This window comes from Homo sapiens, chromosome 13, assembly GCF_000001405.40.
Source record: "Homo sapiens chromosome 13, GRCh38.p14 Primary Assembly".
Taxonomy (NCBI): domain Eukaryota; kingdom Metazoa; phylum Chordata; class Mammalia; order Primates; family Hominidae; genus Homo; species Homo sapiens.
Genome location: NC_000013.11, coordinates 51,311,878 through 51,334,404, shown reverse-complemented (window position 1 = coordinate 51,334,404; position 22,527 = coordinate 51,311,878). Strand labels below are relative to the sequence as shown.

General features: G+C 44.7%; 2 annotated features.

The window, feature by feature from the left end:
- Nucleotides 2,972–3,101: an enhancer, noted in NCBI's record as "active region_7772". NCBI's record gives its function as "activates an Ori minimal core promoter by ATAC-STARR-seq in GM12878 lymphoblastoid cells {active_cell/tissue: GM12878}" and the evidence as "EXISTENCE:reporter gene assay evidence [ECO:0000049][PMID:35858748]".
- Nucleotides 5,287–5,786: an enhancer, noted in NCBI's record as "H3K4me1 hESC enhancer chr13:51902755-51903254 (GRCh37/hg19 assembly coordinates)". NCBI's record gives its function as "activates a minimal SCP1, AML or CMV promoter by ChIP-STARR-seq in naive H9 embryonic stem cells {active_cell/tissue: H9 hESC(naive)}" and the evidence as "EXISTENCE:reporter gene assay evidence [ECO:0000049][PMID:30033119]".

Genomic DNA, 22,527 nt, shown 5'->3' with positions numbered 1-22,527 from the left:
TTTAAGATCTTGTGTGTATTCTTGACTAAATTTCCATGCTTTGTGCTCTTATTGCCATTTTTATTATTAATAGACTGTTTTAAGAGCAGTTTTAGATTTCCAGAAAAATTGAGCAGAAAGTATGGAGTTCCCATAAACCTCCTCTTCCCTGTCCCCAGTTTCCCCAATTATTAACATATTGCATTTTGGTATATTTGTTATAATTGATACATTGTCAAGTAGAGTCAACAGTTTACTTTAGGGCTTACTCTGTTGTGCAGTCCTATGACTTTTGTCAAATACATAATGTCATGTGTCCACCATGATAGTAACATGCAGAATGGTTTCATTGTCCTAAAATTGCTCTGTGCTCCATACATTAATTCTTCCCTCCTCCCTTTCCCTCAACCCTGGGAACCACTGACCTTTTTACTGTCTCTATAGTTTTGCCTGTTCCAGAATGTCATTTAGTTGGAATCATACAGTATGTTGCCTTTTCAGACTGGCCTCTTTCACTTAGCAAAATGCATTTAAGCTTCTTCCATGTGTTTTTGAGGCTTGATACCTCATTTCTTTTTATCACTGAGTAATAGTCTATTATGTAAATGTACTATAGTTCATTTATTCATTCACCTATTGAATGACATTTTGGTTGCTTCCAAGTTTTGGCAATCATGAAGAAAACTACTATAAACTTTGTGTGCAGATTTTTGTGTTTTCAATTCAATTGGATAAATACTTAGGAGTCAATTGCTTGACTTTGTGGTAAGACTATGTTTAGCTTTGTAATAAATGGCCCCTCTGTCTTCCAAAGTGGCTGTGCCTTTTTGCATTCCCACCAGCAATGAATGGGAGTTTCTGTTGTTCCCCATCCTTGCTACCATTTGGTGTTGTCAATATTTTGTATTTTAGCCATTTTAATATGTGTGTAGTGGTGTCTCATTGTTGTTTCAACTTGCAATTCCCAGATGACATGAGGGGCAACATCTTTGCATATGCATATTTACCATCTGTATATCTTCTTTGGTTAGATGTTTGTTCACATCTTTTGTCCAGTTTTTAATTGAGTTGTTTTCTTATTGTTGAGTTTTAGGCATTCTTTGTATATTTTGGATGTAAATCCTTTTTCAGGTAGGTGGTTTTTAAAATTTTTTTCCCCAGTTGTGGCTAGTCTTTTCAGCTCTTAATGAGTTACTCTTTTCTATTACCATTTATAGAATGTAAAGTGGTAAATGTCTGCCAAGTGTCAAAGAAATTTAGGTGATAAGATCAACAGGTGGTTTGTTGACAGTCTTGAAGGGTGGATGTCACTAAATCAGAGAAAGTGTTGGGCAGATGTTAGATGCATGCATGGTGATTTTTTAAATTCTCATATTTTGGTTCTGATTAGAAAGAGTGGATTTGTGGTTGTAAGAAGTTTAAAGTTTAGATGTGGTGTGAGAAGCCATGTACTATGAACCAGAAGTAAGAGACTAAGTAATAAGCCAAAGAGATGGAAGGTGTCTTTGCTCCTGCTGCTATAACAAACTAACTGGGTAATTTATAAAGAAATGAATGTATTGCTCACAGTTCTGGAGGCTGGGAAGTCTAAGATCAAGACCAAGATCAAGATATTGGCCAATTTGGTGTCTGGTGAGGGCCCATTCCTCATAGATGATTGTGTCCAGGTGTTTCCACATAGCCGAAGAGATACAAAAGGCTAGCTAGTTCCTTTGAGCCCTTTCATAAGGGCACTAATCCCATTCATGAGGGTTCTGCCCTCGATTCTTAATCACCTCCTGTAAAGTTTCAACATATGAATTTGGAGGACTATAGCAGAAGTGTTTTGGGGACATCACAAATGCTGGGGACACATGCTCAGGGCTCATCATGGTATTGATGAATTTGTGTGAAACAGTGTGAATAGCACTTCTGCCTCAAACACTTTCTGGCTCCAAATAAGGCCTTGGTATGAGTTCAAAGCAATTTTATTTAGCTTGGAAAGTAATCCTAAAAACAGAGAAAATTCAGCAGAAAGTAACTAAGGTTGAAAATGGAAAAAATGCATCAAACTGTGTTTGTATATTCTGTTTCTTTAAGTCTTGCTTTCCATCCCATTTTTTTCATATATTTCTGTATAATTTGCACTTTGACCCCTTTTATAGAGTTAGATTTTAAAAGTGAAGAAAAAAAAAGGAGAGTTGGGGTTATCCCCTATTTTTCTCCCTAGCACCTAGGCTGGATAACAAGACAGACAGGTGAGGCTGGTCCTCGCTAAGCCAGCCTCGCTCTTCAGGAATTGGCAAGCATAGTTAGTAGGAAAAACCATCCCAGGGGCTGTAGGCACAGGGCATGTGTCTTTCCTTCTTCTCCAAGGAGTGAGGGCATCCCTGATTTGTTACAACAGTCCTTCCCAGTGAGCTTGGCCATGACCTGCAGTTCTTCTCAGTAGCACCTGGAGCCACTTCCAATAAGTCAAAGTTGGTGTGTGAGAAGAAACACATTTGCCATCCCTGAAGTAGCCTGAACTGTTTCATAAGGACCCTTTGGCTCAGCTCTGAGAAACTCCATGACCTCCTGTGAACCCACAAAGTACAGGACTCCACTGGCTACTGGATGACACGCTGGGCAGCATGTGGGCAAGCCGCCTGGTGGAGTTATTACACAGTGGAGAAACTGACGGGTCACAAGCATGCCCAGGTGGCCCTGAAGCTCTGAAGCCCAGAGAGGGAGCTCCCAGGTGATGCCATGGGCTGTGGTCAGCCACTGCATTGGCTGTTATTCCTGTATATCCTTTTCATTTCCCACACACTATGGCCTGAGTCAAACACATCAGAAACATTTGTTCCTGGTCATATTGAGGCCACAATCTCAGAAAACAAATCACGAGCCACTATGAAGCTGCACAGGAGTTCATGAGTGGGAGTGAGGACAGCAAGGCTGGGGGAATTCCGTGAGTCTTTCAATAGTGGCTTTAAACAAATTCTGCTTGAGGGAGAGATTAGGGCTGGGGGAAAGGGGCACGTGGTCTCTGGCAGACCCTGCAGACTTCAGGAAAGAGCCTGGGAACAGGATGCCATGTTGATACATCAACACAATCCATTCTAGTTCAAGCTGAAGATAAAGCAAGATGACCACTTTTTTTTTTTTTTTTTTTTTTTTAGTTAGCAAAGGAGGGAAATAAGAAGATAAGGAGGAGGTGGAGAGAGCAACAGTTGGGTTTAAAGCATTTTGCAAATGAAAGTGGGCCCCTGGCACTGTGATGTGTAATGTGCTCTGCCCTTGGGGTACCAGGGAAGCTGCACCTCCATTTTCCAGGCTGTTCCTGGAACAGTGCAGCAGGGCCTAAGGGACAAGGTAAGGAAGATAATTAAAAAAGCAGAGGCAGAATTGCACACATTCTGCGAACATGCCCCAGAGGAGATCAGAGGTGGGAGGAGGTGGGAGGCTGTGAGATCAAGATTTCTAAACTTCGTTATTTCTATTTTTGTCACAAGAGTGACGGTGATGTGGTTTGGTTGGAGGGAAGTGAGTGCTGTGGGAGAGGCAGCACAGAGAAACCACAAAGGCTGGCACTGTTCTGGAATGTTTCTGGATGCAGGAACCTGGACACAATGTCTGTGTGAATAGCAATGACACCAAGACACAGACTTGGTGCCCAGTGCTCTGAACCCAGCAAGCCAACTGGGAAGCAAGGTGTCAGAATTAGGTTGCTGACGGAAGGCAGTGAGGCAGTGAAGCCTCCCTGGGAGGCTGGTGGATTGCCCTTTCGGGTGATGAAGACTGTTGGTCCTGCTCACCTCTTAGACAAGGGTATGAGGGATGGAGGTCTTGGTGGACAAGTCAGGGGCTCTCCCAGGGTTCTTACCTTGGGCAAAATGTCCCACCTTCAGGGCCCACTGCATCACACCTTGGAGCAGCTGCACTCCAACAGAGCCCAAAGCTGATTGTTTATAAAAAATGGAAAATTTCAAGAACAGTGGACTTCCCGGAACCTCTTTGTTGGGATTGGCAATGCACATAGTAGTATAAATGGGTTTTTTATTCTGAAGAATTACACCTTTAGTCAAAGCTAGAGCCTGGATTTAGCATGCCAAGGAGTGGTATGCACACCTGTAGTTACAACTACTCAGGAGGCCTAGGCGGGAGGATCACCTGAGCCCAGGAGCTCGCTACTGCAGTGGGCTATGATTGTGCCACTGCACTCCAGTCTGCCACAGAACAAGACCCCATCTCTAAAAATAAAAAATAAAAAGGATTTTAAAAAGAATGTCAATGAGTGGGAACCATCAGACACAAAAACACCACCTAGTTTAAACAGGGTTCAGTTATTTATTTCCTTCAACAAGCTAAGGGGCACCTGTGAGCCAGCAAGAGGGGGCCGAGTGGGGAAGGCACGTGCCACCTGTCAGGGACTGGCCCATCTCCCCCTTGGCTTTGGCTGCCACTCACTCTCGGTTGATGCATCCAGTGGTCTCCACTGGCAGAGATCTTGGTCTCCATCTTCCCCAGGGCAGAGTCCCTTATGGGTGGCATGTGGTGAACTGCAGCCAGCTCAGGACACACCGGGAAGATGTAGGGGGTCATCAACACTCACACAGTCTGGCAGCGGGTCTCTGTGTTAACTGCAGAGCCTGGGAACTCTGGACTTGCCTCATAGTTTAATGGTTTGTGGTTGGATCTACCATATTGGTTGTACTCCAAAATTATCTAAGCCATTACATCATTGGCTGTATATGTGGTTTCCAAATTATATCACAACTTACCAATTTATGCCATAAATTTTCTGTACAGTCTAAAATATGTTTATGACTTTGGGGTAGAGCTGTTTATTACTTTTGAAGGAGGTAGCCTTATGTTTATTGGGAATGGGGTAAACATGTTTATAATTTTAACTACTTTTGAGAAAAACATGTTTATAAGCAAAGGAATGTTTTTGGTGGAAAAGCTTGTTTACCAGTTTTAAGCACAGCAAACAGGTTTTTATTTATGCCTGTTAAAATGCAGGATGAGATATCCTTTACAAAAATTCACTTTGCATATCACAGACTAGACAGTGAATTACCCTTGGTACCTATTGTTTGTTTCAATGTGTATTGAGATTAGTTTGTATTTTCCGATACACTGGGCTTGTCATCCTAGAAGCAGGGCAGAGCTGCTTTCATTTGGGAACTTTCCATTGAAAAAATGTTATAGAAAATACTCAGAATAATAATGGAGCTCTGACTGTACTGACTGTTGGTGGCTTAGGGTTTGAATTTTCCGGACATTCTACTCCATGAGGATAGGGGGAGATTTTTCTTGTTCATAGCTCTGTTCCCAATTCTGAGAATAGAGTCTGGCATATGGAAGGTGGTTAATACATAGTTATTGAACAAATGAATGAATCAATCAAAGAAAGGGACAGTAGCCTTTTTAACAGACACTTTGTCATCCCACTCTCCATGCCAAGGAGTTTACAGTATCACATAGATCTTAGTTTTTACTCAAAACCTTTTTCCCTATGAGATAAGAAAACAGCAGATATTGAACCATTATATAAATAAGAAAAAATAAAGACTTAGGAAGCTTTGCCCTGGGTGGATTCATGGTAAAGTGGGGACTCGTGGTTCCTTATCCCAAGCTCAAGGCGACTGGCCCAGCAGCCAGGTGGGGCAGCTGTGAGATGCTTGCCTGCCTGCCTGCCAGAGGCAGCCTCCTGTCCCACGCTAGCCTTGGGGCTCTGCGTCCTGCCAATCACACTGGGGAAGGTGCCTCCCTCCTGCATCTCTCAGGCCTGGGGTTTATCCAGATTCCACACAATGGGAGGGGCTTGTGGGGATTAGAGGACTAATGCCTGGTTTCTAAACTCAGGAGTTAACTGGGAGCCCAGGGTCATGGATAAATGCCAGAGAATGCTGGGCTTCTTTTTCAGAGAGACGCAGGTGTGAGCTGCAGTGCCACTAAGGCGGCAGGACCTAAGGCCCTGTGAGCAGGGGGTTTGCTCTGGGGCCCCGCAAGTCAAGTCAGTGAGCAGGATCCCCATCATGTCCCACAACTTAATCCCGACCCTGCCACATTGCTCCGTGCTGAATTGCCTGGGCCCAGTCATTTTAATGTCTTTGGGCCTCAGTTTCCTAATCTGTAAACCAGAAATAATAAGTGTGCCTCAAGTTTGTGTTTAAGTCAAATAATGAATATGAAAGTACTTTGTAAATCCTGAAGTTCTTTAAACATATACTATCATGCATCACTTTAACAACAAGGATAGGTTCTGAGAAATGCACTGTTAGGCAATTTCATCATTGTGCAAACTTCACAAAGTGCACTTACACAAACCTAGATGTTAGAGCCTACTCTACACCCAGGCTAGATGGTATAGCCTATTGCTCCTAGGCTACAAACCTGAATAGCATGCTACTATACCGAATGCTGTACACAATTGTAACCTAACGGGAAGTAGTTGTGTACCTCAACAAATCTAAACATAGAAAAGGCATAGTAAAAATACAGTATAAAAGACTTTAAAATGGCGCACCTGTATAGGGCACTTACCATGCATGGAGCTTGCAGGGCTGGAAGTTACTCTGGGTGAGTCAGTGAGTGAGTGGTGAATGAATGTGATGGCCTAAGACATTACTGTACACTACTGTAGACTTTATAAACACTGTACCCATAGGCTACACTACATTTAGAAAATATTTTTCTATCTTCAATAATAAATTAACCTTAGCTTCCTGTAATTTTTTGACTATATAAACTTAAATTTTGTTTTACTTTTGACTCTTTTGCAATAACACTTAGTTTAAAACACAAATACATTGTAGAGCTGTGCAAACATATTTTCTTTCTTTATGTCCTTATTCTATACGCTTTTTTCTATTTAAAATTTTTTTTTTACTCTTTAAATTTTTTTGTTAAAAACTAAGATATAAACACCTGCAATTAGCCTCGGCCAACACAAGATCAGGATAATCAATATCACTGTCTTCCACCTCCACTTCTGGTCCCACTGGAAGGTCTTCAGGGGCCATAACATGCATGGAGCTGTCACCTCCTATCACAACACTTCCTTCCTCTGGATACCTCCTCAAGGACCTAACAAAGGCTGTTTTACAGTCTTTAAAAAAGTTTTAAAAACTTTTTCTTTTTGTAGAGACAGCGTCTTGTCCAGATTGCCCAAACTGGCCTCCATTTCCTGGGCTCAAGTGATCTTCCTGCCTCATGACTAGCTGGGACTATAGGCATGGGCCACTATGCCCGGCTAACATTTTTTTTTCATGAGTATAAGGAGTACACTCTAAAATAAGGATTAAAAGTTAGTATAGTAAATACATAAACCAGAAACAGAGTAATTTATTATCAAGTATTATGTACTGTTCATAATTGCATGTGCTATACTTTTATATGACTGGCAGCACAGCAGATTGGCTTACACCAGCGTTACTACAAACATGTGAGTAATGAGTTATGCTATGACTTTATGATGGCTATGACATCACTAGGTGCTGGGAATGTTTCAACTCCATTATAATCTCATGGGACCACTGTCGTGTATGTGGTCTGTCATTGACTGAAATGTTATTGTGCAGTGCATAACTGTATTATTATTTTTAATTAGATTTCTAAAATAAGAGCCTATTTTTATTGAGAAATGCTGTGCAAAGCCTTTTACAAGCATTATCTCATTTAATCTTTATAATGATCCTGTCAGGTAAATGTTCTTTATGGTGATTTGAAAAATATTTTTGGCTGGGCACAGTGGCTCATGCCTGTAATCCCAACACTTTGGGAGGCCGAGGTGGAGGAATCACTTGAGGCCAGGAGTTTGAGACCAGCCTGGCCAATATGGAGAAACCCCTGTCTCTACCAAAAATACAAACATTAGCTGGGCATAGTGTCACATGCCTGTAGTCCCAGATACTCGTGAGCCTGAGGCACAAGAATTGCTTGAACCCAGGAGGCAGAGGTTGCCGTGAGTCGAAATTGCATCACTGCACTCCAGCCTGGGTGACAGAGTGAGATTCTGTCTCAAAGAAACAAACAAACAAACAAACATCATAAAAAAAGAAAAATATTTTAACAAAATAGAACAATATAAAGGAGAAAAACCAAAAGTCCTTAAAATTCCCCTCATCCAGTGATATTGTTGGGTATTGTTGGGAAGGTATCTCTTTCAGAGGAAGAAAGAAATTTGAGTTGAGGGGGAAGGGCTGGGGACAAGTATGTGTGTGCAAAGGTATGCATGTGTCTGTGCTCTAGCACTGACTCTGGTGGCAGTGGGGTGGTGGTACCCTCAGGAGGGTGCATAAAGGCAGGAGGGCAGGCCTGAGCCTGTTGTCCATGACCACACTATGTTCTCCCCAGCAAGTGTATTACAGATGGCTCTCCATAGAAACAGAACCAACCCACGTGCGCGCGCGCACACACACACACAGAGCACAGAAGACAGAGTGAGAGCTAGAGAGAGAGAGACAGAGAGAGAGAGAGAGAAGGAATTGGCTCATATGTTTATGTAGGCTGAGAAGTCCCAAGACCTGCAGTCAGCCAGCTGGAGACCAAGGAGAGTGAATGGTGCAGTTCTTGTCTGAAGGCTGTCAGTCTTGAGACCCAGAAGAGCCAACGTTTCAGTTTGAGTCCAAAGGCAGAAAACCACCAATGTGTCAGTGTCCCAGCTAGAGGCACTCAGGATGAAGTTCCCTGCTACTCAACCTTTTATTCTATTCAGGATTTCCAAAAGAGAGGAGGGCCACCCACATGCAGGAGGGCAATCTGCTTTCCATAATCAACCAATTCAAATGTTCATCTCATCCAGAAACATCTTCACAGACACACTTAGAATAAATGTCTGACCAACTATCTGGGCACCTTATGGTCCAGAAAAGTTGGCACATAAAATTAACCATCATAGCAAGGATGGTAAAGGTGGTGAATCTCAGTTTCTGAAACCTCCAGATCCTTCTCCATGCCCCTGAAGCCTGCTGTTACTTATTGTAAAAGCTGGGAATGCAAACTTGTTTGAACAAGGGCAAAACCTGCCATCAATAGGAAGGTAAGTCTCCTGGAGAAACATAACCCACTGCCGGTTCTAGGAGGTCCTCCACCCACTAGGGACGGCCACGGCCACAGCACTGGGCGTCAGGGCTGAGTGAGCCAAGCCCTGGAGGTAGCGGCAGGGCCCTCTGGTCTGAAATCCTGGGGTGAGAGTGAGGCTGGCCACGCCCACCAGTGAGGGGAGCTTTGACCACACAATAAGCTTGAGAAGAACTCACTGAGTCTGGGATGCAAATTTATGCAAAATAGCAGGTGGGCCCATGAGTCCTGGCACTTTGTTCTTACCACAACAGCAACATTGTTCTGATTCCCCACTGGTCTCACATTTTGCTTCTCCCATTGCGTGCCCCTCTGCAGGCCTGGGCAGGGTATTCAGTTCATCTCTGCTCATTAAGGGAGGCAGCTGAGGCTACGGAGCTGGGCTGGTGGGGGGCACGGTGGGAGGGTGGGCGCTGGGTGGACATCTGGGTTGGCTGCCTCAGCCAGGTCCCCTGTGGCGAGTGCATGGCAGGCCTCAGTACTCCCGAGAGGGCAGAAAGCACACAGGTGGTGCTGAGAGCTTGCTGGTGCCGGGTGCCAGCAGCTGATGCAGGGCTTACCCGGGTGAAAGAAGAAACAGTCCCTGCTCTAGAGAAGCTCACAGTTTAACAGGGAGACAGACATGCCAACAAATATCTGTATTAAGTTTTGTAATTATAGTGTGTACAAAGGTTACAGGAAGACAGAAGAAGGAGAAAATAGTCAATGTATTTAATCATCCCAGCAACCGTGGGAGACAGGAATTGTTGGCTCATTTTCACAGATGGGGAAACTGAGGTAAGAAAAATTTCCTTCTTGCCTGCCTTCTCTCTGCCCCTCTCTCTCTCCATTGGTCTGTCCATCCTCTGCCCACATTGTACCTTTCTGTCTTTCCTTCCTTCTTTTTTGTTTATTAAATAAATATTTACTGAGCATCTCCATGTGCCAGGCATGGTGCTAGGTGCTGAGAGTTGGCAGGGAAGAGGATACGCATAGTACCTGTCTGCACAGGGAGTCACCGTCCTGTGGGTGTATAGTCAGCACACGAATCATACTGTGGAGAGCAATGTAATTACTGTTATGGCAGGGAAAGGACAGGTGCAGTGAGAACAGTTACTGGAGGTGTGGACAAAGTCCTGCAGAGGGTGAGACTGGCCTGGTTCCCTGACTCCTGAGTCTCAGCTCTTGCTCCATATGGGGTAAGGGAGGGAACATTTGAACACCTCCCTGGGTAAGTTGTGATCAAGGATTTCCTGAACCTATGACTGTGACTTAAGGGAAAATCTCCAGCTGAATGACTGTGGAGTTTTAATACTAGCACGTAGGCTGTTTCTATCTGGCATTAGGCAAGGGCTCCCAGCCCAGACCTAGTCCTCAAGGACACAAGCCACATCTGCACCAGTCACAGAATCTCAGAAGAGTATCCTTTCATCTAACATTTATGGAGTGCTCCAGGGCTGAAGGCACAACAAAGGGAGTTGTGTGGAAAGGGGACAGGAACAAGCACTGCTGGACTCCTTAGTATGTATAAGCTGAAAATGAATTTGACTCGGACACCATGTCTGATCTGGAAAACTTAGCATCTTTGTGGAGAAGAGAGGCTGAAATCAATTAACTATAACAAAAAATATTAATTCACTCATGCATATATTAATTCATTCATCCATTCATCCAAAATTATTACTTTTTCAGCATAGATTTTGGGCGAAGGCCTTAGGCTGGGTGCAAGTGATTTTTAGAAATCAAGCAATCATATGTAGCATCGAGTCTGAGTGGGAGGGAGACTGAATTTCTATCATGTGGTGAGTGTGCTGTTGGAGCCATGCCTGGGGCCCTAGAGCAGGGGTGCCTAATGTCAGCAGAGCGAGTACTGGGCAGAAAAGGTTTTCAGGAGGGGAGGGGATGTAAAACAAGGCAGGGGCTTGGTTGGAGAGGGTTCTTATTTCCTTAGAGGGAAAGTGCATCCCATCCCTCAAGTGTCTGATCTGTAGAGTGGCCTCGTCAGAGCTGCATGTGGGATGGAGCAGGTGGAGACCAGATTGGGGATAAATCTAAAGGGATAGGACAGCCTGCAGGAGAGCATGTAGAAGGCTGAGACAGGGCTGTCCTTAGTGCTCAGGAGGGGCAGAAGCAAGGCCTGTGGGAGCCTCAAGGAGAATTGCTCGGTTGTGACTTGGAGGGAGAGGACCAGGGTTCACCCAGGAGTTGCTGCGAAGGATTGGCAGGGGGTGGGGAGGCGAGGGCACACACCAGGCAGAGAGGAACTCAGGCACGACCAAGGGCATAAATGCATATGGCATGCTCAGCTTTTTCCCAGCCCCTACTGGCTGGTAGACAGCAGTTGAGATAGCTGCAAAGGCCCTTCCATTGCCTGCCCAGATCCACAGGGGCAGGCCCTGGTAGCCAGGTTTGTACCTTGTTACACAGCAACTCTGGCCTAGATAGTTGGCCAAGACAGAGCACCTGGCCCACTGCCTTATAGGTTTTTCTCTCTTAGATTAGAAGTAAGAAACCCAAAGGCTGGGAGTGGGCAAAGCACCTGAGTCTCCTACTTTGGGCCCCAAGCTGTCACAGATTCCTTTCTGAACCCCAGTTATTCAACTCTCCTTCGAATTCTCTGAGCTTTTCCTTCCAAAAAATTCTTTTTTCCCTCATTAAGTGGGTTTTTGTTATTTGTAACCAAAATAATATTAACTAATACTCACCAGCCAAGGTGAATTTGTAAAACAAAAATAATAAATCTTTTAAAGCTAATTTCAGGTACTTCTGAAACAATCTTGTCTAAAAGTTGATTTAGCCAAATTACATCTACATTCCCGGTCTTATAAAATTTGTGGTTCTTCTAAAACCACCTGCCCACCTCGGCTTGGACATGGAGGTGGCTTTCAGCATGGGCCAGGCTGCCAGCTGCCTCTGGGGTATAATGGAAGGGGAGCTAAAGTCTTCTGCCACCCACCTGCTCTGACATGGGCTAGACATCCTGGCTTTAGCATCCCTGGGGCCTGGTTATTCCCAGGGTATAATATGAGTCTGCCCAGGCTGGAGCTTGGAATGGAGGGCATAAGGAGAAAGAAAAGTCCAGGGCGGGCCTGATCCTCACCACAGTGCCCACCCCTCATTCAGTGTGACTAGACTCCACTGGGACCTGAATTTGAGGGCTTTGTAAGCTCAGGCCCAAGGAGGCTCAATGACAGTGATCCAATTGCATGTGTGTCTTTTCTTCTAAAACATTGTCAGAATGCATTTTAGACATTCTTATTGGTCAGGAGGCAATGTTAAGCCTCTCCCACAGGACTCAGCAGGGAGCTAGAACAACTTGCATTCTGGGTGCATTATAAATTTAATTAATTTGCACAAGAATATTTCAATTGCTTTCTCCCTCATATGAATGAAATCCACGTGATTTCCAATCTGTTTCTATGGTTTCCTTCCTCTGTTCGGATACATTAATTAGCTTGTCAGTTTATTATGGATTTTGGTACCTTTTTCTCCCTTCAAATTTGAGCCCCTATTAATTCAGTTTTCATGTCAACAGTGTTTAAAAATAGAGCAAAATTATTTTGACTGGCACACAATCAGGCCTCTGACTGTTGAAAGAGTTTGCCACATGAGTGTAGATTTTCATTGCATTTTCTCTTGCTTGGATGACATGTGGCTGTGATCTCCTGTTTTACCTTGCAGCAAGGTTAGCCAGCCTCAATCTTCTCTGTAATATTCAGCTTGACTTAAAACCCTTGGCTTTTTGGCTTGGTAAGCAATTGTATGTTCCAAAAACACCAGGACTCTCCTCAGGGTTGGCCCAGGCAAATGGATCTTCATGGAGAGGAAGATTAGTTATGCCTTTTTTATTTAGTGATTCAAAAGCCCAAAAGCCCTGGACTCCCTCATCCCAAGACACTGAGAGCCATCATTTAATATTGCCCCAAAGAGCTGATGATTTTAATCCAAGTGCTCTCTCCAAGGCTGCTAGCTCCTGCCAGCAGGGAAGAGGAGACTGGTTCTCCCGCTGTTGACTCTGTCCTCCCGTCTCTGGCTGCTCACCTTGTTTCACCCCCAGGATGGAGGTGCACAAACCTGCCACACTTTTGGGTCCCCTGGAGGAACTTTTAGAAACTACTGATACCTGGGCCCCATCCCAGCTCAACTGAGTCAGAATCTCTGGGGATGGGGTAGAGACATGGGTATTTTTTAATACCTAATGGGAGCTAGGTTTGAGGAACACTGATTGCTCAAAGCATGGTAAAGAAGTGTGTTATGGGTTAAACTGTATCGCCCCCTGCGAAAAGACATGTTGAGGTCCTAACCCCTCGCACCTCCGTATGTGCTCTTATTTGGAAACAGGGTCTTCGCAGATGTGGTCAAGTTAAGATGAGGTCACTGGGCTGACCCTAATCCCCTATGGTTGGTGTCCTCATAAGAAGGGGAAACTCAGGGACAGCACATGGGGGAAGGCCATGAGAAGATGAAGGCAGAGGTGGGGCAATGTCTCTACCAGCCAAGGAACACCAAGGATTGCTGCAAAGCAGCTGCAGTTAGGAGAGAGGCAAGGAACAGACCCTCCTTTACAGCCCTCAGGAGGATGAACCCCATCCACACCTTGATCTTGGACTTTTGGCCTCCAGAACTGTGAGACAGTAGCTTTCTGTTGTTCTAAGTCACCCAGTGTGTGGTACTATGCTATGGCAGCCCTAGGAAATGAATTCAAGGATTTATCACCCTGTTTGGAGATGTCCAGCCCTGTTGGCAGAGCCAGGGAGCTGCTTTGGGATGTGTGTAAACAAGGAGGCATTCCTCACAGGCCTCTCTCCTCCAGTCTGGAGATTCATGCCGGCAGTGAGCGTGTTACTGTAAAAAGTGTGGCCCATGCACCTGTCTCCTCCGGCCATTGTTCCAGGCACACCTGGCTTACTCCATGCCATCCAGACTCTGCTGCAGATCTACTGTCTTATCTCTGGAATTGGGTGTTGAGTCCTTCCACGCTGCCCTGCACTGGCCATTGATTGACTCCAGTGCCGCTATGGGCTGGCTCTATCTATACCCATGCCCTGTCCCTGTGCCTGAAACCCCAGCATGGCCTAAGCCTTGATTTCCTTCTTGCTCGGGCTTGGACAGGCCCTAAAAATGCCTGGGTCCCTCCCTCTGGTACCAAAGATAGGGGCTAGATCTGGTTTCTGGATATGGGACATCCTCACATCTACTGTGTTGGTCGTTGTCGGCCGTCCTCTGGCGGGAAGCCCACTTCAACTGGTTTCATAGGTGTGAACATCACAACACTTCTCTTTATGAAATAAACATCTCTAGTGACTGGTACTACAAGATGCATTCTCTGGCTTGCTTCTTCCAGCTAAAACTCCTCATGAAATCTACATGGATGGATGACATGCAGGAAGAAACATAAGCCATTTCTTCTCAGAGTTCACCATATCACTAAGAATGATCAGAATGATTGTGAAGCACCGGAAAACTCCTAAACATGAGAAAAAGAAGATAATTTAGAGTTTGTTTATCAGAGCATCCAGGTAGGAAGTAGAAAACACAGTTTGCCATTCAAATGTTTATTTTATAGATTTGAATGGAGGAAATGTAGGCCCTGAATTTTTCACTTCTTACCTGTTATTGCTGTTAGGTCTTAACAACTGTCTCCCCCTACCCTCCTCAACAGAAGTAACTGAAGCAAGGCACCTATGAACTCTGCCTTCCTGGCTCAGAAGCCAGTGCTGACCAGGTCAGTAAATACAGGAAGAATCTATCTCCCACCGTGGGTAAGAAATGGAGTCAGTCTTGCTATTGTTATCCTGAGAGCGTTGCTGGCCTGAGCCCTTGTTTGCTGAATGCCAGGGGCCTCGCCTGTAGGCAGTGGGGTGGAGAGGTTAAAGATGTGAACTTCAGAGTCACACCTGGGCTGGGTTGCTGATCTCTCTAGCTATGAGATCTTGGGTTGCTTCCTAAGTTCTCCAAGCCTCTGATTCCTCTGTAAAACAGGGGTAATAAAGACTTACCCCTTAAGGTTGCTGTGACGCTCAGGGGAGATGACTCCTAGAAAGCACTTGGCATAGAATAAATTCTCCACTAAGCAGTAACTACAACTGTCTTTAATGCCTCCCCTCTTCCTGTTACACGCTCCTTGTTCCTAGGGTTTCTGATGCTTCCATCTCAGGTACAGGCCCCATTCTGAGACCAGTGACTATCCCTGGATTCTGGCTGTGCTTGGTCTAAGTGATGACAGTTTACCTAGCTGTGATAGTTAATTTTGTGTGTCAACTTGCCTGGGGTATGAGATGTCCAGATACCTGGTTCAACATTCTTTCTGGGTGTGTCTGTGAGGGCATCTCCAGGAGGGATTAGCACTGGAACTGTTGAACTGTATAAAGCAGATGGCCCTCCCCAACGTGGGCGTGTATCATCCAATGCATTGTTAGCCTGAATCATAAAAAGATGGAGGAAGGTTGAAGTTGCTCTTTATCTGACTGCTTGGGCTAGGACATTGATCTCCAGCCCACGGTGCTCCTGTTTCTCAGGTCTTCAGATTTTGACCAAAATCTATACCATCAGCTCTCCCACTCTCAGACCTTCATTCAAATGACACCGCTGGCTTTCCTGGGTCTCCAGCTTGCAGACAGCAGATCTTGTGACTTAGCCTCCATAATTGTGTGAGCCAGTAGCTTATAATAAATCTCTTAATCTCACTCTCTCAATAGGTATGTGTGTGTGTGTGTGTGTGTGTACAGATAGATAGATAGATAGATAGATAGATAGATAGATAGATAGATAGATAGATGATAGATAGATAGATAATCTCCTATTGGTTCTGTTTGGAGGACACCAACTAGTACACTAGCCCTTGTCAAGGAGCTAGACTATGACTCCCGAAATCTCTTGGGTCTGCTTGGGACCCTACCTCAATCCAGATGGACCACAGAAAACTACAATGTATCCCCACCTGAATTCAGGTCTTACCCTTGCCCAGATAGACCCCTAAGGTGCCGTTATAGACAAAACACCAATTTGCAAAGTGAGGTAGGAACCTCAATAAACCCTTCTGAGCATGTGTGTCAAAATGATCCCCGGCCTCATGGGCTCATTTTAGCCTCTTCAGTGAATGGCCTGATGAGTCAGGATTATACAAACCCCAAGTCCTACTCAGTACTGGTCTCTTATTTCTTGTTTACCTGCCTGCCTCCACCAGACTGGGAGCAGCTTGTAACCAGGTCTTTCTTGTGTTTCTAACACAGAGCTAGGTTTCCAGCACATACTAAGTCCTCAGTAAATACTGGGCAAACACTAGAACAAGGTCCTGTGACCATCTCCCACTCACTGCTGTTGCCTACTTGGCCTGCACTTGTTGATTTTCTTTTTTTTTTTTTTAAATGAAGCACTTACTAGGTGCCAAGCACTTAGTTGAAAACTTTTTTTTTTTTTTTCTTAGAGACAGGGTGTTGATCGGTCACCCAGGCTGGAATGCAGTAGTGCAATCATAGCTCACTGTAACCTTGAACTCTTGGGTTCAAGGGATTCTTCCCCTTGGGCCTCCTGAGTAGCTGAGACTACAGGGACTCACAACCATGCCATGCTATATTTAAAAATTATTTTGTAGATATGGAGCCTTGCTATGTTGCCCAGGCTGATCTTGAACTCCTGGCCTCAAGTGATGCTCCTCCTCAGCTTCCCAAAGCACTGGGATTACAGGTGTGAGCCACCATTTCTGCCCTGGGTACTTCTTATGTATGGTGTTTTGTTTCATTCTCACAATAACCCTGTGAGGAAGGTTCTCTTATCCTCACTGGGCCAAGGAAGGCCCCTGAGACTCAGAGGTTGAAGAATTTGCTTAGATCACACTGCTAATGAGAGACAGAATCAGGCATCAGTTCTGACCTTTGCTTAGTTACTCAGTTCCTTTATTTTTGTTTAACTTTTGAAGATCTTAAACCACATCAATCCCAACTATACAGTCACCATGTTGAGGACAGGAGCCAAGTATAATATTTCCTTGAAATTCCCACAGTGCCAGGGGTAACTGATGAATAATCATTGATTGATTCCCATAAAAGGCCTTGATATCAGACAGCTGACCAGTCTTATGACAAGCTTTTCTCTTTGAGAAACTTCAGATCCACGAGTTGGCTCCAGGGATGAAAGCAAGTATTATGTTTGAGGATAGGATTGGGCATCAAGTCTGTAACCCTGGAACCTCAAGTTCATGGTTAAGGTTCTTAATACTTTTTAACCTTTGGTACCATGTAGACACAGAGACAGGCAGTCAGCATGGATTACGGGCGCCTCAATTAACCCCTACCTCTTAATATTTGGTCACTGTACGGAAGTGGGCTGCCAGGTACCGGAGATTAACCAGTCTGGATTATCTGCCTGGGCCAATTAGCTGGCCCAAGGTAGAACAGCGGAGTGTTCCTCAGCCCAGTGGAGCCAAGTGTAAGAAGTTGGAGCCATGGAATGTTGTGTGCAAGTAGAGGTCTTGAGAGGATTCTGTTCCATGTTGTATGAGCGTCTTACTTAGTTGGCTTGGGCTGCCATAACAAAATACCATAGATGGGGTGGTTTAAACAACAGAAATTTATTTTCTCACAGTTCTGGAGGCTAGAAGTCCAAGATCAAGCTGGGTTGATCAGCAGGGTTGGTTTCTTCTGAGGCCCCTCTCCCTGGCTTTTAGATGACTGCCTTCTCAATGGGTCCTCACATGGTCTTTCCCCTGTACCTGTCTCTTGTCCTAATCTCCTCTTCTTATAAGGATACTGGTCATGCTGGATTAGGGCCCAGCCTAATGACCTCGTTTTCACTTCATCACCTCTTTAAAGGCTCTGTCTCCAAATACAGTCATACTTTGAGGTGCTGAGGGTGACATATGAATTTCAGAGGGACACAATTCAGTCAACAACAGTGAGATTCATTGATATACCAAAAAGGGCTTGTAATGGATATACCACTCCAGCAATCACTATGGCATCTGGTATTGTAAGAGGGGCTTGTCTTCCATCATGGCGAGGTGGGCTTTAAGAAAGGGGCCTGTCTATACGATTTGACTTGGGAGCCAGCATGACACACTCAAGGTGCTGAAAGAGGCCAGTGTGGTGGGAATAGGGGAGCCGAACGCTGGACAGACTGACAGTACAGCAGGGAGTAACTACAGTAGTAGCCAAAGTAATTATTGATATATACACATACCACTGTATATAGTAGGTATATTAGTATGTATAGAGGTTATAGTGTATATATATGTGTGTGTGTGTATAGTACATATAGTGGCTATAGTAGAATAGCCCCTGGGTCCCTGGCTACTTTCTCCTCTGATCACAACCCTTCATTAAGCCCTGGACATGGTTTTGCACCACTTCTAACTGTACAGTGTTGTAGCCACCTTGGAGCTTTTCATCCACCCAGCTCACCTCATTTTGCAGTAATGACAGCCCCCAGGAAAAGCACAGATTGGATTAGCGCACCGTACTGTTATTTCAGCACCCTGGGGATTCACAGCTGTGATTCACAGCTGTGAAAAGCAAAAGCTGGTTCAGCCCCACTCACTTTCTTCAAATCAGCAATGACCTAAGCAAATAACCCCCAGTGCCCGGGATATTTAGCTGGAGTCAGTGCTTTGAAAACTGAAAGGCCACGAACAAGAATGAAAATTTTACGGTTCCCAACAGCTGAAGCTGAGAGCCAGAATTTATGGATTTGTCCATGTGGCCTTCTAGAGCTCAAATTTCTCACAGAAATTGCCAAATTGTTTAAATGCAAATGCTATAGCTGTTCCAGTCTCCCTAGAGAATTTTATTTTATCATGAGACTAAAGTTTGTGGATCCTGTCCTCATCTAACATTTTCAAGTCAAACTTCAACACAATGGAATGCATTTTGAGCTCCTGAGAGGGGTAAGGCGCAACGTGGAATTCCTTAAGGAGTTCAGGAGTAGCAAAGGGGAAGTCACATGCTCCCAGCAGCCCATGAAAGGCACTCACAGAGGAAGCCCAAAGGAAGTATAAGCATATGGAAGGGAGAGATTAATTCTGATGTCTCTGTATGTCTGTGTGTGTGTGTGTGTGTGTGTGTGTGTGTGTGTGTGTGTGTAGGGGGTTGAGGGAAGCAGGGTATTCAATGAAGCATCTCTTCCTTCTGGGGAGAATGTGGGAACTAGATTTCAGACTTTCTTTGCTTTGTGTTGCTTTTTGGAATGAGACATTTTGGAGGGTGGGGGAGGAGAGTACGCCCCAAGGAAACTCTTTGCGTTTGTGCTTGAGAGAAATGATCATGCAGGTGAGGAGAACGAGACCTCAAGAGGCAAAGCTGACTAAAGATGTTAAAACAAAAAGGAGCTGGGGAGGAGGTAAGGTAGTGATTACCTGTGGGTGGGTTGGTTTGAGAGGGCTTCTCAGAGAATCAGGACCCACTCTACAGTTAACACAGAGCAGGGCCCGGGTGAGGTGGCATCAAACAAATGGGTGGAAACACTGGCTGAAACACGTCATTTAAAATAACACATGGACTTGGTGAAAGTGAATAGTACTGTTTTTTTTTTTTCAGATATTGATTTTATTTTACTAGATGGGCAGTTCAGCAATATTTTTTGTGTGTTATTAAGCATTTTTGCTCATTTTCTCGCATACTGAAGATTTTTTTTCTTCCAACTTTTTTTTTTTTTTTTTTGAGACGGAGTCTCGCTCTGTCGCCCAGGCTGGAGTGCAGTGGCGTGATCTCGGCTCACTGCAAGCTCTGCCTCCTGGGTTCACGCCATTCTCCTGCCTCAGCCTCCCAAGTAGCTGGGACTACAGGCGCCCACTACCACACCTGGCTAATTTTTTGTATTTTTAGTAGAGACGGGGTTTCATCGTCTTAACCAGGATGGTCTCGATCTCCTGACCTCGTGATCCACCCACCTCGTCCTCCCAAAGTGCTGGGATTACAGGCGTGAGCCACCACGCCCGGCCTCTTCCAACTTTTATTTTAGGTTCAAGGGGTACATATGCAGGCTTGTTACATGGGCAAATTGCGAATCACTGGGGTTTGGTGTACAAATGATTTTGTCACCCAGGTAGTGAGCATAGCACCCGATGAAGAGTTTTTCCGTCCTCACCCTCCTCCCAGCTCCACCCTCAAGGAAGTCCCGGTGTCTGTTGTTCCACTCCTTGTGTCCACGTGTATTCACATATTGAAGATTTTTTAATAGCTTTGGAGGTTATTGTTTTTATAATATTTTATTTCCAATTTACTTTCAGCCAATTGTATCTCTTTTACTTGCTGGTCATTGTTTTCATAAATTCTTAAAATTTTCTAATCACTTACTCAGGTTTTTGTATCATCTGCAAAATGCTTGATTTCATATAAAACCAATTTTGTCTAAAAATTATTTGAAATTGTTAATTCATTTTTGACTAATGGGATAACAACTGTCCCAGTTTGCCTGGGACTGAGGGGATTTCCCAGGACATGGAGCTTTCAGTGCTCAAACTGGAGAATTCTGAGCAAATTGAGATTGTGGCCACCCTAGGTGGCATTGCCAGCTTGGCAGAGATGGCCACTGTCCTCCACACATCATGACACATTCTTGCCCAGCCACTCTTGCATCTTAAGTTTGGCTGTGTGGCTGGTTCCTGTCAATGGCTGTAATGTGAGCAGCAAAGCAGAAGCAGGCTCTTCTCTCCCTTCTCCTTCTATACAACATGGACGTTGACACCCAAGGCAATCTTGCAAATGTCAGGTATTGAAGATGGCAGAGCCTCTGTGGATCTGGGTTTCTGAGTGACTGCATGTGGCCCAGGACCTCACCATCTGCCCCACCAACACCACCATGGGGCTTCACAAAATCAAGAAACAAGCTTCTGCCGGGTGAAAGCAGTGAGATGTCAGCAGATGTTCTAGCAGTTGGTGCTATCATTATTACTATATCTACCCAACATTTTAAGCCATATTTTTACTCTTTTGATTTTATATTCTTTTTATAATTAAAAAGGCTAGGGAGTTCCAAATAAATGTTGTTGCAAACATTGCTTTAAACATTCCATGATATTCTACAGCCACAATTTGATCCAACTTTTGCTGTCAGATTTGACGCTACAGTGGAAAGACAGACTCCACCACATAGATTCAGGCTCAGTGTGGACTTTGGCAGAGAATTCTCAGAACTAGAGTGGTGGACAGTCAATAAGGAAAGAATGCCTGGCAGATTTCTCATCTGAGAGGGGCTAGGGTGAAGGAAGGATATAAGATCACTAAAGGTAATAGTTTTCCTTCCATGCAACCTACAAAATAACGTATTTATTAGCCCTTCCCCTAAGCTCAGGAAAACTGTATGTAAACTGCCTCTTGACTTCAAATCTAGAATTTCTCTAGAAAGCTAAGTCAGGCTGACAGCTCTGTAAATACCCAGGGCATCCACAGTCACTTTGTCAACCAGAATTTCACCTGTATTTTTAAAATCCTAAGGATAAGAATACTCCCATTGGCCAGGCACAGTGGCTCATGCCTGTAATCCCAGTACTTTAGGAGGCTGAGGTGGGCAGATCACTTGAGGTCAGGAGTTCCAGACGAGCTTGGCCAATATGGTGAAACCCCCTCTCTACTAAAATTACAAAAATTAGCCAGGCGTGGTGGTGCACTCCTGTAGTCCCAGCTACTTGGGTAGGCTGAGGCACGAGAATTGCTTGAACCCAGGAGGCGGAGGTTGCAGTGAGCCAAGATTGCACCACTTGCACTCCAGCCTGGGTGACAGAGCAAGAGTCTATCTCAAAAAAAAAAAAAAAAAAAAAAAAAAAAGCTCTCATTTATGAATTGAATGAGACAATGTATTTTCAAATGCCCAGCAATACCTGACAGAGTAGATGCTCCATAAATATTATTATTTTCTGTCTTTCTTTGCAAAAAATGATAGCATTAATTTTTTTCCCTTTTACTCACATAATTCAGCAGTTCTAAGGTGGTGTATCAGTTTGACTCCTTGGAGACGCATATGCTAAGATGAAGTTAGACGTGCAAGAGATTCACTGGGGGAAGTATCTGGGATGAACAAAGGAAAGAAGGGGCAGGAGGTGGCGCAGAGAGCCATCAGACTATAATACTGGCCTGACACCTGGGAGAGGAGAAAGGGAAGGAGAAAAGATTGGGTAGGGAGAGCTTGAGAGTTTGCAGCTGTGAGAAAGTCTTGGGTAACAATGGGGAGCTCCAGAGCAAAGACTGCTTGTTAGAGGATCCTGCATTGGGCAGGAATGTTCTGGCTCTAAAATCCCACTGTGCCCAGTCATTGTCTGGGAGCAGCCCAGGGAGAGCATGGCCTTGTGTGAGCTGCTTTGTATCCCGAAGGGGCAGCAGCTGACAGCCAGCTATACTGCCTGCAACAAGTTCTCTCTGCAAGGGAGAGTTGAACCATGCGTTCCTGTAGTTGCCAGGAATATAAGGGAAACTTTTTTTCTCCAAATGCACAGAAGAACAACACTAACCTCTACTATTATTTTTTATTTTTTTGAGACAGAGTACCACTCTGTCGCCCAGGCTGGAGTGCAGTGGTGCAATCTCAGCT